Source organism: Homo sapiens, chromosome 3, assembly GCF_000001405.40.
Source record: "Homo sapiens chromosome 3, GRCh38.p14 Primary Assembly".
In the NCBI taxonomy this organism is placed as follows: Eukaryota; Metazoa; Chordata; class Mammalia; order Primates; family Hominidae; genus Homo; species Homo sapiens.
The window spans coordinates 101,260,650-101,278,466 of record NC_000003.12 but is presented as its reverse complement, the minus strand read 5'-3'; the positions used below and the strand labels follow the sequence as shown (position 1 = coordinate 101,278,466).

Sequence of the window (17,817 nt, the reverse complement as noted above, 5' to 3'; positions counted from 1 at the left end):
AAAACTGATGCCTCAAAGTGTGTGCCATGTTTATCTCCAGGCTTTGAGTACCTCTGTAATCTACTTTAGAGCAGTAGGTTGATCTAAAAGTGTGTGGCTCTGAAGATGTGACTTACTGGGCACATCACAGACCTGGGCACGTCTATGAGGGAGATATTTTTGACTGTTGATCAAATTACTTTAGGAAGTTGACTTGGTAGCATTGAAGAGTTTTTATTTATTTATTTATTTAGAGGCAGAGTCTTCCTCTGTCACCCAGGCTGGAGTGCAGTGGCACAATCTTGGCTCACTGCAGCCTCTGCCTCCTGGGTTCAAGTGATTCTCATACCTCAGCCTCCTGAGTAGCTGGGATTACAGGCATGTGCCACCACGCCTGGCTAATTTTTGTATTTTTAGTAGAGACGGGGTTTCACCATGTTGGCCAGGCTGGTCTCGAACTGCTGGCCTCAAGTGATTGACCCGCCTGGACCTCTCAAAGTGCTGGGATTACAGGCATGAGCCACTGTGCCCAACTTGAAGAGAGTTTTTAATTGCTATGAGTTGAAAACAGACAATCACCACTGATCCAATATCTTTGGAAAAGGTTAAGGGAATAGCCCTTTTCCTCTTAGGACATGTGTACAAACTTGAAAATTCTAAAATGTTCCCAGATTACTGTAATTTAACTTTTATAGCTTTGGGATATGTGAAAATATGGACTTGTGGAAACCTATTTTCTTTCCTTTAGGAGGAGAGGCTTTCTTAGATTATCTTCTGATCTCTTCTTATCTTTGCTTGCAATTGCAGAGTGGCATGGTAAAACAACAGCCAGGAGACCTGATGCCTGTTAGCAATGGGGCCTACAGCAAATAATTTCTCTAAGCTTGACTTTCTTTATATAAATAGGTTTTATGATTTCAATGATCTCTCAGATGAGATCAGGTGTGTGGTTTTATGTTCCTTCTAGCAGCCACTACTTTCTTGTCTGTACTACTTGTCTCATCTGTAATTATTGATTTAGTGTGTATAATTTCTATAAGACTGTAACCTTCATATACAATGGGTGTTTTGCTCACAATTATATGCCAAGTACCTTCTACATTGCCTGGCACATAGTATTCATTTATCCCCAAAATATATTTTTAATGCCTACTAAATGGCAGGTACTGTTTTAGGCACTGGAAAATACAGCAGGAATATATTAGTCAAGGTCTCCAATCTCATGCAGTTTAGATTCTTAATACATTCCTGTTCAACAGAACATCTGTGGTGATGGAAATGTTCTTTACCATCTTGTCCAGTATGATGGCCATTAACCACATGCAGCTATTAAGCACTTGAAATGTGGCAGGTGTAAATGAGGAACTGAGTTTTTAACTTGGTTTAATTTTAATTAAATTGCTATGCATGTCCAGTGGCTACCATTTTGGGCAATATTGTGCTAGAGGACTAAGGCATTAGAGACAGAGATAAATAAGAAGATAAATAAAATTTCACATAGTGATAAGAACTGAGAAGAGAGAAAACAGGGTGATGCAAAGATAACTAGGGAAGAATTCTAGGTAGGGTGATTCTAGTGGAGTAGGCATCAATAAATATAAAATAAATGAATTATGAAGTTTTAATTTTAAAAAACTTTGCTTTTTGGTACTTTTGCTTGGGAGCCCTTACTTGGTGATCTAGTGCTTTCCTTTTTGGAAAACAACCCCAAAAATCCCAAAATAAACTCTCATGTGTCTGTCATTTTATTAACTGCAAACATTTTTTTTTCTAGCTCTGAACTGTCTTCTCCAGTTCCTGTTGGTGATACTTCAACATTGGGAGGTATACTTTTGTGTCTTCATTCACTTTTCTTTTAAAATTATTTATGGTTTAAGACAGGCTCACAAACAAGTACATTTTTTGCAGCTTACCTTTTAAAAATATCAGATTTCTCTTTTTTAATACGTTTTTCAAGAGTCTCAAGAAAAAGTAATTTTTAAAAATTTATTTTATGGCATTATGTTGTGGGTACCTAAAACTCCTTAATCATTAAGTATATAATACAAGTCAGAACACCACTTAAAACAAATGTATGAGCTAATGAATTATTTTAAGGCAAACACTCTGTAGCCACCACTAATGTCAAAACGTAGAACCATTCTAACGCCACCATTTGTCATTCGTCCCATGAGAGGTTCCCAGAGTAAGGATTTTCTTATTGCATTCTGTGGTATAGTTTAACATGTTCCTTTGCCCAGTATATTTCTTGTAAATTGGTAATTCATTTCTTTATTTTTAATTAAAAAACCCCACAAACTTCTCTGTGTTAGAAATTTCAAACATCTACAAAAATAGAATAACATGATAAGGTCCAGTTTTAACACTTGTCAATTCACAACCAATTTCCAACCTTTACCCACTTCTCCTCTCTGGTAGAGGAGTTACTTCTTTTAGTATGTGTCCCCTTTACTAGATAGCTCCTTAAGTAGAGGAATATTGTCTTTGTGTTCCTAGTGTCTTGTGCAGAGTCTGGCATATAGTAGGTGCTCAATATATGCTTGTTGAACGTACCACAATTATTTCTTGTTCTGAGAAGGCTCCATACAAATATGTCCTGAGGTTAGAATGCACCGAATTTCCAGGACAATAAAACAAACTATTTATAGGAATGGTTTTTGAAGTCAGTTCCTTATTTCCTGATAGGAATTCTGACTTAATCGAGGACTGAATTCATGCATATGTTTTTGCTTTTCTTCTTAGACACTACTCTCAGTGTTCCACATCCAGAGGTGGACGCCTATGAAGGTGCCTCAGAGAGCAGCTTGGAAAGGCCAGAGGAGAGTGTGAGTGATGCTCTGTTTTGTTAGTTAGTTTCTAACATGGAACATAGAGATTAAGAGAGAGTTTATCTCCCATTGCTGGACTACACAGGACTTCATGTAGTGTCCTGTTAGAAAAATGACATGGATCCTAAAACCAGTACATTAAAAACAATTTTGAGATTCCTTGGAGAACTGAGTAAATCTGCTCTTATTGGTGAGTTTTTGGTGAGAGCTTCGAATTATAAATGAAGTGGACTGTCATTGAGGTAAGCCCACTGCCTCTTGTGGCCTCTGTGACATGATTTTCTATGGTGGTTTTGCCTATGTTCTTCTCACCCTTAATAGACCAGATCTTAGCCTTCTTTAGTGGGTAATAATATACATTTTATGTAGTTTAAAAGTCAAAAAGTACCATGCATTGTGAATGTACCATTATTAATAGAAACCTGTCCACTAAACAACACTAAATCCTATAGGTGAGTCTCTATCACAAAAGATACATACAGGTTAACAAAAAATTTACACATCGCCCAGGAATATAGAAACATTTTGTTAGATAAGATATTTAAATACTGAATTTAAAAAATTAGGGGGTTCACAAATCCTGTTTTTTTTTTTTTAATATAGAGCTAACTCTGACAAAACATATCCACTAGGAAGATGCAATTTAGTTCTCTTGCACCTTCACTTCCCAACGTGGACATTTTAACTTACATGAAATCAGGTTAAGTCGCTCCACTCTGCCTCATCACCCTCCCTGTCACTGAACAAGGCTGGTGGTAATCCCTAGAGTGGATACCCGAATCAATACTTTTATCCTAAGTATAACCGTGTTCCAAGTAGATGGTGCTAGCAAATATTGGCATTTGATAAATATTTGTGAATGAATGAATAAAAAGTGATACTGCAGCTCTGAACTTGAGGCAGAATAGCTATGATTTAGATCTGGAAACATTTGTAGAATGAGATATAATTCACTTTAATAGAAATTAAGGAATTGTATGCAATCAATTGGAACGTTAATATCCAAAACAGAGGATTTAAGCCAATTTATAGAGCCAGTAGGAAAACAAAACAATATAGAGATACCTAACAAAAATTAGTTTGCTGTAGCTCTGGTTCAAAATGAAGCCCAAGGTAGTTTTATTGTGCACCTATTTTCCTAATGCATTTTCCCATCTACTCTTCTAGAAATTATATACCGTATTTCAGTTCTGTTGGGATTTATCCTATAATTATAATGTGTATTCAACCTAACAAATTTTAAGTTTTTCAACATCTTTATTCTTATCCTGAGCAACATAGGAACATTAGAACATTGTAATTCAAATGATCATTTTGCTGACCTGTATGCTGCTTTTCAGTATTTTTGTTCTTTCTTTTTATTCTACTAATTAGACTGTATTATATTCTACTTACACAGCTAAAATTTGTTTAAGATTTACCCAGATGTTTACTATTTTATTAATTTATTTTATTTATTTATTATTTTTTTGAAATGGAGTATTGCTCCGTCACCCAGGCTGGAGTGCAGTGGATCTTGGCTCACTAAAACCTCCGCCTCCCAGGTTCAAGTGATTCTCCTGCCTCAGCCTCCTGAGTAGCTGGGATTACAGATGCATACTACCATGCCCAGCTAATTTTGTATTTTTAGTAGAGATGGGGTTTCAGTTGGCCAGGCTGGTCTTGAACTCCTGACCTCAAGTGATCTGCCCACCTCGGCCTCCCAAAGTGCTGAGATTACAGGTGTGAGCCACTTCTCCTGGCTGTTAGCCTGTGTCTTAAAGTCTACCCAATTTGTTCCAAAGTCAAATACGAAATAATAAGATTATCTTCAGAAGCTGCCTTTAGCACAGTTCTGACACATTGAAACAATCAATAAATGTTTGTTGATTGAATGAATAAGCCTTGACATTTATTGTTCTTTCTCTAAAAATTCAGATTAGCAATGAAATTGAGAATGTGATAGAAGAAGCCACAAAACCAGCAGGTGAACAGATTGCAGAATTCAGTATCCACCTTTTGGGGAAGCAGTACAGGGAAGAACTACAGGATTCCTCCAGCTTTCACCACCAGCACCTTGAAGAAGAATTTATTTCAGAGGTGGGTGATTAAAAAAAAAACAAACAAGGCAGTATGCCTGCTATGTTAGTTTCCTATATTCACAACACTGTTTAAAGATAGGTTTAGGTTTCAAATTGTTTGTCTACTTGGTTCCTGGAGTGGTTACTTAGCCATTTCTTCAGAAAACTCTGTGAAAAGTCATAGGACAGATGAATTCTTTCACAGAAAGAAAAATCTTGCCATCTGCTAAAAAATAAATGCAATTTCCAACTTTTGCTGCACAGCCAAGAAAGAATGTGTTCTGTGGCATGGTTTTGACTTGAAAATATTTGGAGAAATAAGCTTCTCTAAGAAACTACACACACTGTATTGTTTTTCTTAAGGGAACATTACATTTAATGTCTTTTAATTTCATCTTTAGTATTTTTAATTGAAAAATTTTCAATAGTTAACACATAGGTAATAACTGGTACAAAATTTAGAAGCATAAAAGGGCATCCAGTGAAAAATAAATGTTTCTCCTATCCTTGGTTGGAGGTATTTTTAAAAAGGGATTTCTTTAAAGAATTGTGGATTAGACCATCCCATAACTTCACTTTCTGGGAAAATTCTATATAGGACTTAAACTCAAGAATTTTTCAGTCAAAAATGACCCATAGTCCCCGTCTAGTTTGCCTTTGCTTTTGTGCAGTAAGACATTGAATGCTTATCTACCCCTGTCTGTCAGATGACAGGGCACATCATTCCTTCGTTTATTTTTTCCCATTCCTTCTTGATGGGGTTCTCTTTAGCCAAGTTTATCAATTCCATTACCTTAGATTAATTTTCTTCCCCAGATACTGTGTCCAGATGAGAAATAAAAATGTGCATCTCTCAGCCAAAGCATTATTGTAGCCATCAGATGTGGGAAGGGGAGGCCAGACAATTTATTTTCCTAGTGGTGTGGCCAAGTTGCAAGGCTATATGGTATGTGGAAGAAATGTCAGCCAGGCCAGTGGCCACCTGGCATCAAAGAGTGTCTTGGGCTGGCTGTCTGGTTTTCTCTGTCCTTTGATTAAGGAACTTTTAATATAGCTTAGTGTTTAGGTAAACAATTGCATGGAATGACTGCAGATTTAGAGAAGTCCAATAAACACTCTGAAAAATATCTTCATCAAGGACTTGATGAGGTAGGTAGCTATTGAGGTGATTAGAGGGTGTTGAAGGTTCTGGGCCTACCATGGAAGACCTCCTTCTCTGGCCTATCTCTGTACTCCCTGTCCCCTTACCTGGAATGAAATGTCTACCAACAGTCACTTTGCATGAAACAGCAGAGGCAGGGGATCATGTCTCAAACTGAAGGGGATCCTCCAGCTCCCTCCCCTTAGGACACCATCACATGGATTTTTCCCTCAGCTTCTCTGGGTATTACTGGAAGACACACAGGGAGAAAGAAAGCCTGCTTGGAGGGGATGAGGTTTAGGAGCTATTAGTCTTTGTGTGTCTGTGTGTGTGTGTATGTGTGTGTGTGTGTGTGTGTGCGTGTGTAAAAGGATAAGAAGTGGGGGCATGATAGGCTTGGGATAACACGAAGTACAACATCAGAGAGGGAAAGGTCAGTGTGATGGGCCTGGGAGGGTTGGTGCCTGAGGGCAGTTCCAGTGTCGGTGTGATCCTCACATAGTTCCTTATGCTCCACAGGCGACTTTCTATTTGTTTGCTCACAGCAGTCATGTATTCAAGCATCTCTAATTTACAGATGAGGCTCAGGAGGCCAAATAACTTGTTCATTGTCATTCAGTCTCTCTAGGAACAGAAATGAAAATCAGGTCTCCTACTGCCTTTCAAAGTACTCCTTCTTCTACAGAGTCCCCTTCCTTTTAATTCAAGGGAGAAGTTATAGTGAACCTTAGTTTTCCCAGTCTTGGTCCCAATTCTAAAGCACATTTATCATGAGGCAGGGGCAATGTAATTCAATGGGAAGAATATGGGCTTCAGTGTTAGAGAGATCTGGGATTGAATGCATTCTGATTCAGTCACTTACCAAATGTGTGACCTTGGCCAAGTTAGTTAATATCTTACAATCTCCATTTTCTCATCCATAAAACAGGAATAATATATTATCTCTTGGGATTGTCACAGAGATTTGAAGTAAAGCAAAGCACCAGATATATTGCAGTCCTCAATAAATTTTACTGACTATTAATATCAATGTTGAAGTCGAATGACTTCATGCAACTGGATATCTATACATGTTTAGACTCCAGAGATTGCAAAGCCTACACTAAGATGGGTTTAGTAGTAATGATTTTTTTCAGTTAATGGAGTGCTTTTAGGTACATTTCTTTTAATCTTAAAATCAATATGGTAGGTGAGCAGGGAAGTATTAGTTCTGAAAAAAGAAGGCCTGTGCATGGACTGTCTGCCAGCAGAAACAGAGCTGAGACTAACCCTCAGCCTTCTGATTTCTAGTCCTGTGTCTTCTACCCCTCCCCACCACCCTACAAGAATTATAACAGTTTTTTATTTCCTTTCAGAGAGTAAAACAGGGCACATTACTATAGCCAAAGAGTTTCATTCTTTGGCTTTGGATCTTTATTCTTAAGGCATAAAGATCTTCAGTCAACCAAGATTTTTTAAAAATCCCACTCTCCTCATATGAGGACTTGGTTAAAAGCAGATGCCCAGAGATGTTGCCAAGGTCCATCAATTTATTTCCTTTGTTCTGATGTTGGCCCCATCATGACCCATCTGGTGAGGCTGTCACCTTCTGAAATGTTACAGATTAAATGTTTATTTTTGTTAAAATATGCATTTTTGCCTAACCTGATTATTATTATTTTTTTTGAGACGGAGTATGTCGCCCAGGCTGGAGTGCAGTGGCGCGATCTCGGCTCACTGCAAGCTCCGCCTCCCGGGTTCACGCCATTCTCCTGCCTCAGCCTCCCGCCTAGCTGGGACTACAGGCGCCCACCACCACGCCTGGCTGATTTTTTGTATTTTTTTAGTAGAGACGGGTTTCACCATGTTAGCCAGGATGGTCTCCATCTCCTGACCTCGTGATCCACCCGCCTCAACCTGATTATTTTTACATCTTTAGTCCAATCTGGCATACTATTTTCCACCTCCAGTCACTAAGCTCATTTGGAGTTACATGGCTAGATTTTAAAGACTCAGTAATAAAACTGGCTCCTGCAAATGTGATGCTCATGAATTGGTCTTTTGACCAGCGGAGTTACCTGACCACAAGGCCTCTCGTCTGGGTGTTGAGTGTGTTTGTGGTTCTCTTTCGTTGTAGGAGCAGGAAAAAGATGCCAGCAGCCACTTTCACACTTACAGAAAACAAACACTAGACTGTTTTTCAGTGTGTGTGCTGTGGCCAGATTCCAAATCCAAACAATATCATTTAAAAATGCTATTACAGGCCTGTAATCCTAGCACTTCGGGAGGCTGAGGCAGGTGGATCACCTGAGGTCAGGAATTCGAGACCAGCCTGGCCAACACGGTGAAACCCCGCCTCTAGTAAAAATACAAAATTAGCCGAGCATGGTGGCGCACACCTGTAATTCCTAATTCCAGCTGCTCAGGAGGCTGAGGCAGGACAATTGCTTGAACCTGGAAGGTGGAGTTTGCAGTGAGCCAAGATCGCACCACTGCACTCCAGCCTGGGCGGCAGAGTGAAACTCTGTCTCAAAAAAAAAAAAAAAAAAAAAAGAATAAAATAAAATAAAATGCTATTACAGCTTCTTTTGAAACAATTTTTTTTTCACATTTCATCACATAAGGGAAAAACAGTGCTTTGCCAACAAGGAGTATGCTTTTTATAATTTGGAAAAATTAATATTAAAGCACATTGAAACCTTGAAAGACAAAATGAAAAAGAAAAATGTGGCAGTGTTTAGGTAAAATTTTTTCTTTCATTTTCTGACCTGGGTATGCCTAGCTAAGTGTATAAGCTTCTAATAGTTGTGAACAGTTCACTTTTTATTCTACTCTTAAAAGCATTATTTTCTATATATTTTTCCATATTTTTACATAGTTATCATTTTTATTTGTACTTTTAACAGGTTGAAAATGCATTTACTGGGTTACCAGGCTACAAGGAAATTCGTGTACTTGAATTTAGGTAAATAGACTTATCTAAATATGCACATTTTCAGTAGTATTCTTTATTCTGAATGGAATGTCCATTATATTTATCACACATATTCTAACAATAAATGGTTTGAATGCTGTAACTCAATGCTATTTCTGGTAAATTAGTATTCTTGATGTTAGTTTTTCAGGTGAGAAAATTGAGTTAGAAAAAGACCAAATAATAACTCAAAGAGATATATTAGGTCTAAAATTGGCTAGGTTAAGAATTCAGGAATTCATGTCCCCAGCTTGCTGCTGACAAGTTACGTAGGTCTTATTTGGCACTGATAGGAGGCAGACGAGATGTGGCCCCAGTGTTTTCCTAAAGCTTGTCAGTGTGGTGATTTTGACATCTTGGTATGAGGCCACTCTGGAAGGGATGCATTAGTCCTTGTTTTAAACATAACAGTTCTGAGTAAACCAGACACCTCTTTTAAAGACATTTATTCCCTGCTTAAGACTCACAGTGTAACACTTGTGAACATTTACTGAATGAATACTTTACTGAGTGAATACTTTGTGTTGGGTATGCCACATTGCTGAGCTCACTTAATCTTCAGCCCTCTCAGGATAGATATTATTAATACTCATTTTTAAGAGGAGGAAACAGGTTTAAAGGGATGAAGTATTAGCCCAAAGTCAAGAGTTTGTAAACTGGGGTGGAGGAGGAATTTTGAAACAGAGCAGCTGACTTTATAGCTTTTCTTGCTCTGAACCTTCATGCTAGACTCAATGCCATGATTTAGGTGATGCTCTAGCCCAAGTTTAGATGTTATCCATCTCAACTTTGGCTTGTTCTTGACAAAACTTCTGAGTTTACCAGAAATAACAGCAAGCACTTATATAGCATTTACAGTGTGCCAGGCTTTATATATATATATATGTATATTTACACACACACTATTTAATTCCAACATCAATGCTATGAGATAGTTACTATGCTCATATTTTCCAATAAGGAAACCAGAGCACAGGGAATTTAAATAATTTTCCCAGTGTTGTTTAGCTAGTTAGTGATGCAGGCTTAGTGGAAAGAGGCCAAATATTTGAAGTTGTCCTACTTACCTAGTCTCATATCATGACCAGTCGCCCCCATTCAACTTTAGCAGTTTTCAAACAGGATGCTGCCTCCAGTTGTATGCTCAGATGAGAACCTGAGAATGTGAGGCCTTTGAAGACCTCCCTTATTTGGCAGCACATGAAGGGCAACACAGTCTTTGGAGCCAACTTGCCTGGCTTCAGATCCTGCCGTTGCACTTCTGGCTGGATGCTTTTGGGTGTATTTCCAGGATTTAACTTTTTGTTTGTATAAAAAAGACAATTTACCTTAATCCTGCTTTATTAAAAAAATGCTTTTGAAATGCCATCAGCAACTTATTTATCTTCTTTGGTCTGTAGTTTCTATACCTATATTATGAGGATACTAATAAATCTTAATGAAGATTAAATCAATTTTTATAAAATGCTTAGCATAGTTCCTGGCACATGGAAAGTTCTATTTAAGCATCTGCTACATAAAATAATAAATATTAAAGGTTATGCAGTATACTGTGGATTAGTCAGTCCTGACATTTACCTATACCCTTACTACTTTACAGTGTACCATCTGATTTTAATACTGCATAACATGTTGTATCCCAAAAAAGAAGGTTCCCAATTTTGTTAAAGCCAACAACTGGAGTCCTCTGCTGATTTACTGAAAAAAGTTTCTTTATGAAGAAATAACCATATGTGAATTATTTTAAAGTATTTTTAAAATTTAGAAGAAAATAAAGACCATGGTTTTAAAATAAAATGCTTTTTTCACCTTTGCTCACTTCCTTCAATCCATAGGAATTTGTCAGCATTTTTATTTAAGGAAGCATTTCAAAGAAATTCAGAGGAAATACATGAATAACTTGCACTTTGATGAATGATGTGACAATAATAACTGTCTCAAACTCTGTTTAATATTTTTAATTTTTGTTTTCAGGTCCCCCAAGGAAAATGACAGGTACTTTTTGGCACTTTCTCTAATGTCCATTGAATTGGGAGACAGTTTAGTAAATATAGCAGGCCGTAGGTCCAGGGGAGCATAACTCAAATATTATATCACTTCCAATATCACTGTCTGACTTTTTCAGATCAGGGTTTGTCAAACTTTTCTATTAAGAGTCAGGTAGCCAATAATTTAAACTTTGTAGGCCATATAGTCTCTGTTGCAACTACTCAATTCTGCCACTATCAGGTAAAAGTAGACATAGACAATATATTGTAAACTAATGAGCTTTGCTGTGTTTCACTTTATGGACATTGAATTTTATATAATTTTCACATGTCACAAAATATTGTTCTTTTTTTGATTTTTTTCAACTATTAAAAAATGTAATATTCAGTAACTCTTGGGTAGTAGGCTGGATTTAGCTCACAGGCTGTTTAATTTTATGTTCCTGGCTTATTTCACTTAACAAAATGTCCTCCAGTCCATGCGTGTTGCTGTGAATCACAGGATTTCCTTCTTTTTATGGCTGAATAGTATTCCATTGTGTATGTGTAACTGAATGGAGGCTTGGCTGCTCACTGCTTGCAAAGCCAGTAACAAGGACAATGTGCAGTGAAAGGAAAGTGACTTTATTTCCAAAGCTAGCAGTGGGGGAAGTGGCCAGCTTAACCTCCAGAAATGATTCAAACTTCAGGCTGGGAAGAGGGGATTAAAAAAGGAAACTTGGAATGGGAGGCATGCAGGAGGGGTGCTGGGTACAAGGTCTGCATGTCTTGTTCCAGTGGCTATCTCAAGCCATGGTCCACAGGAGCACAGCTGGCATCATCTCAACAATGGCTGGGTTGTTGACTAACTGTCTTGAGATAATCTCTGGAATTTTGCAGCTGGGTCTCCATGCTTGGTCTGTCTCAAGATTAGCCCCTGGAACTTCTAAGTAAGCATATAATTAGATATAAGCACGCAATTTAATAAATGTGCATGGGGTAAAGGAGTACATGGTGGGAGATGGTAGGAGGGAGTTAAGTTTCAAAGTATGTTTCAGGGCTATATTTTAAAACTAAGGGGGAAAAGGCTCCTACAGTTTGTTTCAAGGTTACAACTTGAGACTGGGAAGAAAGGAGAAAAGAAAAAATGTTTTAAAATGCATTTGGAAGTTAAACTACTTGGTTGCATATGTATACCACATTTTCTTAATTCATTCATCTGTGTTGGACACCCAGGTTGACCCCATATCTTGGCTGTTGTGAGTAGTGCTGAAATAAATAAACATGGGTGTGTGGATATCTCTTTGATATACTAATTTCCTTTCCTTTGGATAAATGCCCAGTAGTGGGATTGCTGGATCATATGGTACTTCCATTTGTTGTTCTCTGAGGAACCTCCATATTGTTTTCCACAGTGGCTATACAAGTTTACATTCCCACCAGAAGTATGTAAGAGTCCCCTTTTCTCTGGATCCTCACTAGCATTTGCTATTTTTTGTCTTTTTGATAATAGCTATCCTAACTGGCATGAGATGATACTTCATTTTGGTTTTGATTTGCATATCCCTGTTGATGAAAATGTTGAGCATTTTAAAATATATTTTTTGGCCATTTCTATGTTTTCTTTTGAGAAATGTCTATTCATATCATTTGCACATTTTTAAATTGGATTGTTTGTTATTTTGCTGTGGAGATATTTGAGTTTCTTCTATATTCTGGATATTGATCCCATGTCAGATAAATAGTTTTCAAATATTTTCTATCGTACTGCGGGTTACCTTTTCACTCTGTTGATTGTTTCCTTTGCTGTGCAGAAGCTTTTTAGTTTAATATAATTCCATTTGTTTATTTTTGCTTTTGTTGCCCATGCCTCTGAGGTCTTATTCATAAAATCTTTTTCAAGACCAATGTCCTGAAGTGTTTCCCCAATGTTTTCTTCTAGTATTTAATAGTTTTTCAAGTCTGACATTTAGGTCTTTGATCTATTTTGAGTGGATTTTTTGTATAGAGTGAGAGCTGAGGGGTCTAGTTTCATTCTTCTGCATATGGATATCCAGTTTTCCCAGCACCATTCATTGAAGAGAGTGTCCTTCCTGCAGTATATGTTCTTGATATTTTTGCCAAAAATTAATTGGTTGTAGATATGAATTGATTTCTGGATTCTCTATTCTGTTCCACTGATCCGTGTGCCTGTTTTTATTGCTAGTACCAGGCTGTTTTGATGACTACAGCTTTGTACTATATTTGAAGTCTAGTAGTATGATATATATCATCAGCTTTGTTATTTTTTCTTAGGATTGCTTTGGCTATCTGGGGTCTTTTGTGGTTCCATACAAATTTTAAGACTTTTTTTCTATTTCTGTGAAGAATGTCATTGGTATTTTGATAAGGATTGCTTCAAATCTGTAGATTGCTTTGGGTAGTATGGTCATTGTAACAATTTTAATTCTTCTGATCCAGGAGAATGGGATGTTTTTCCATTTTTTTGTATCCCTTTCAATTTCTTTCATCAGTGTTTTGTAGTTTTTCTTGCAGAGGTCTTTCACCTGCTTGGTTAAATTTATTTTTACGTATTTTATTTTTCTTGTAGCTATTGTAAATGGGATTGCCTTTTTTTTCTCAGCTAGATTGTTACTTGTGTATAGGAATGCCACTGGATTTTTTTAAGTTGATTTTGTATCCTGCAACCTTACTAAATTCATTCATTAAATCTAGGAGTTTTTTTAATGGAGTCTTTGGGTTTTTCTCCGTGTAAGATCACATGATCGGCAAACAGGGATAATTTGACTTCCTCTTTTCCAATTTGTATGTCTTTTATTTATTCCTTTTGCTTGATTGCTCTGGCTAGGACTTCTGGTACTATGCTGAACAGGAGTGGTAAAAGTGGGCATTCTTGCCTTGTTCCAGTTCTTGGAGGAAATGCTTCCAACTTTTCCCCATGCAGTATGATGTTAGTTGTGGCATTTTCATATGTGGACTTTATTGTATTGAGGTGCTTTTCCTCTACCTAATTTTTTGAGGGTTTTAATCATGAAGGCATGTTGAATTTTATTAAGTAGTTTTTCTGCATCATTATGATGATCATATGGTTTTTATACTTCATTCTGCTGATGTGATGTATCATCCTTATTGATTTGCATATGTTGAACAATCCTTGCATTCCTGGGATAAATCCTACTTGGTCATGGTGTATTATCTTTTTGAGGGGCTATTGGATTTGATTTGCTAATATTTTGTTGAGGATTTTTACATCTGTGTTCATCAGGGATTTTGCCCTGTAGTTTTCAATTTTTGTCAGGTACGTGTCTTGTTTTGGAATAATTAAATTTTTCTGCTTTAATTTTTTGGGATAATTTCAGAAGAACTGGTATTCATTCTTCTTTAAAGATTCTGTAGAATTCAGTGGTGAAGCAATCCAGTCCTGGACTTTTCTTTTTCAGTAGACTTTTTGTTACTGATTTAATCTTGTTATTTGTTGTTGGTTTGCTCAGTTTCTTTTTGGTTCAATTTTGGTAGGTTAAATGTGTTCAGGAATTTATTTCCACTAGGTTTTCAAATTTATTGGCATATGGTTATTCATAGTAGTCTCTAAATTATCCTTTCCATTTCTGTGGTATTTGATGTGATGTCTCCTTTTTCATTTCTGATTTTATTTGGGTCCTCTCTTTTTTTTTTTTTTTTGAATCTGTAGATTGCTTTGAGTAATGGTAGAATGCTATAGACCATAAGTCTAACTAATGGTTTGTTGATTTTTATCTTTTCAAAAAATCAGCTGTTTGTTTTGTTAATCTTTTGTATATTTATTTTGGTCTCCATGTCTTTTATTTCTGCTCTGATCTTTATTATTTCTTTCCTGCTGCTAATTTTTTGGTTTGGTTTGTTTTTGCTTTTCTAGTTCTTTGAGATGCATTGTTAAGTTGTTTATTCGAAATCTTTTTAGTTGTTTGATGTAGACATTTATTGCTATAAACTTGTCTCTTACTACTGCTTTTGCTGTGTCCCACAGGTTTTGGTATGTTGTGTTTCTATTTTCATTTGTTACAAGGAATATTTTGTTTTTATTTTAAATTTCTTCACCCATTGATCATTTAGGAGCATATTGTTTAACTTTCCTTTATTGGTATAGTTTTAAATTTGTCTCTTGTTTTGATTTCTAGTATAATTCCATTGTGGTCAGGTAAGATACTTGATATAATTTTGATAAAAAAATTTTTTGAGACTTGTTCTGTGTCCTAACATATGGTCAGTCATGGAAAATATTCCATGTGCTGATGAAAACAGTGTGTATTCTGCAGCTGTGCATCTGTTCAGTGAAATGTTCTGTAAATATCTGTGAGGGCCACTTAGTCTGTGGTGCAGTTTAAATCTGGTGTTCCTTTGTTGATTTTTCTTTCTAGATGATTTGTTCTAGGGAGATAATGGGGTGTTGAAGTCCTCAACTGTTATTGTATTGGGGTCTATCTCTCCATTTATATCTAATAATAGTTGCTTTATATGTCTTGGTGCTCCATTTTGGGTGCAGGCATATTTATAATTGTTTTATTTTCTTGCTGAATGGATTCCTTTATTATTATACAATGTCCTTCTTTGTCTCTTTTTTCAACTTTGGACTTGAAGTCTGTTTTGTCTGAGCATGGTTACTCCCACTTGCTTTTGGTTTCTGTTTGTGTGGGATATATGTTTCTATCCCTTCACTCTAGATATTTATGTGTCTTTATAGGTCATGTAAGTTTCTTGTAGGCAGCATATAGTTTGTTTTTTTTTTTTTGTTATCCTTTCAGCCAGTCTATATATTTTAAATGGATAATTTAACCTATTTAACTTCAAGGTTATAATTCACAGTAGAGAACTTATGTCATTTTGTTGTTTGTTTTCTAGTTGTTTTGTATATTCTTTGTTCCTTATTTCTTCTCTCATTGTTTATTTTTGTGGTTGCTTTGATCCTTTCTTGTAGTGTGGGGATGAGTACCAGGTGTCTCTAGTCAGCCATATTAGTGATGTCACCCAGAATTGCTAACCTAGGTATAGTTTTCAAAATTATTCAGCATTGTCAGGAATTAACCAGCTGATAAAATTTATTTGTAACTTTTGGGTGTACTTATATTCTGAGCTGTGTATAAATGAATGTATAGCACAGAAATAGTCTATGAGATATATAACATACCGTTTCTCTCTCTCTCTGTAAGCATTTATATGCACATGAAGTTTTTTTATTTGCTCTGTACCTCTTTTAAAATGTACTCATTATTTTAATTCAGTAGTATGCATTTGAAGTGAATCAACAACATATCCATCTGGTATACCCAATTTATATATTTAGCTTCAGGCTTTTTCAGTATGTATCTTCTTCCTAAAAGAAGCTATAAAAGAAGAGATGTCTGAGTTTCTCCAAAATATCCTTATTTTGGTTGATCTTGATGAAATGTGATAGCACTATTTTTAATTTTTTAAAAATATATGCATCAAACAGTCAATCAGGGCATCTGAGGAGAAAGAATAAGAAAGGATAAACTTCACTTCCATGTGATTAATGTCTTTGGAAATAGCTGTCAGACACAGAAACTCTCCTCTGTATAGCAGCTGCATGAGTCCAGTTCAAAAGATGAAAGATGATGATCCAGTGGTGGTTAGTTAACTTGGAGTTGCTGAATATGGAGAGCCAGCACAGCTTTCTTCAATCACATACCATTTTATCTACCAATGTGTATTCTGCTTCTCATGTATTTCCTTGGCCTCTTGGTTTTCTTTTATTCTGTACCTCATCCTGAGATATATTTGTACCCCATTACTATGCCAGAACTCTGTCTGTTCTGAGTCACAGTGATGTTCTTGGCACTCAAAATAGATGGTTTTCTGGTATCTCAAGCACTTATTTGAGTTCCCTTTCCAGAACAAAAACATGGTAACAAATTATAACATCTCTCTGAGGCATTTTATCTTCTTTAATGAACTTATCTGTACTAGACAAGGTAGATTATAATAGAAGTATTATATTTAGATGTCCAATGGAAACATTGAGAGGCAAATATTTTGCCAATAAAGAGTAACACTAGTAATCTATTCCAGACTGCTTGATTTGCATAGCTTTCTTGATCCAGGAACATTTCTCTTGATCTTTTCCCTATTACATTTAAAAGTCATGCAAGGCATATGGTAGGCTCCCAGTAAATGCTTGACTCTCCTTGTCTGATTTTCTGCATAGCCTAAGAACCAACTGAAGTGCTAACTGACATAGCCTTTCCTCCTCCTCCTTTTTCTTTTTTTCTTAAAGTTTTTTTATCTTAGAGTCATGTTTACACTAGAAGTAAGTTTAATAGGTTGTGCAAAAATCCGAAAAAGAAACTCACCTTTCTGGAGAGGTAGATATGGTCTATCACGCTAAGACTTGGAAGAGCATGCACATCCTCACAGAGCTGGGCTGTGGCCAGGAAACAATGTCTCTAAAATGATTAACCAGAAGATACAAATATATGAAGCTAATACGAACGTTCTTTAGGGTTAAAAATTGCTCTGTTATATTTAGAGTCTGAAGATGCTTCAGATTAAGTCAGGCATATCATGTACTGTTGTTTAAGTGGCATAAATTCAATTGTCTTATCTGCCTTCATTAGGGAACAAAATTGACCATTTGTTTCTTCATTATTTTCACAAGTATGTATTGAACTGCTATGAGCCAGGCATTGTGCTAGATGCTGGGGACATAGAGCCAAAAAGTAATTGTGCCTGTATAGTTGGTGAGGAGATAGAACATGAGCACCAACCACGTCTTCATGTTAAAAAGAAGTTTCCCTGGGAGATGACAGCTAAGCTGAAGTAAAATAGAAATAGCCAGGTGAAGAAGGTATCTGTATGTGTGTGTACATGTGTATGTGGAAGATATAAGGGTTGG

The 17,817-nt window shown here is 36.5% G+C and overlaps 1 protein-coding gene across 1 annotated transcript in view; it reads left to right on the top strand.

Annotated features, from left to right (window-relative positions):
• The window catches only part of IMPG2 (interphotoreceptor matrix proteoglycan 2), a 98,030-nt gene that overhangs the window by 42,109 nt on the left and 38,104 nt on the right, over positions 1–17,817 (top strand). Inside the window, exons 5-9 of the mRNA NM_016247.4 lie at positions 1,754–1,803; positions 2,722–2,804; positions 4,725–4,886; positions 8,894–8,952; positions 10,936–10,956. Of these exons, the coding sequence (NP_057331.2) occupies positions 1,754–1,803; positions 2,722–2,804; positions 4,725–4,886; positions 8,894–8,952; positions 10,936–10,956 (375 nt within the window). The remainder of the gene's footprint in view (positions 1–1,753; positions 1,804–2,721; positions 2,805–4,724; positions 4,887–8,893; positions 8,953–10,935; positions 10,957–17,817) is intronic.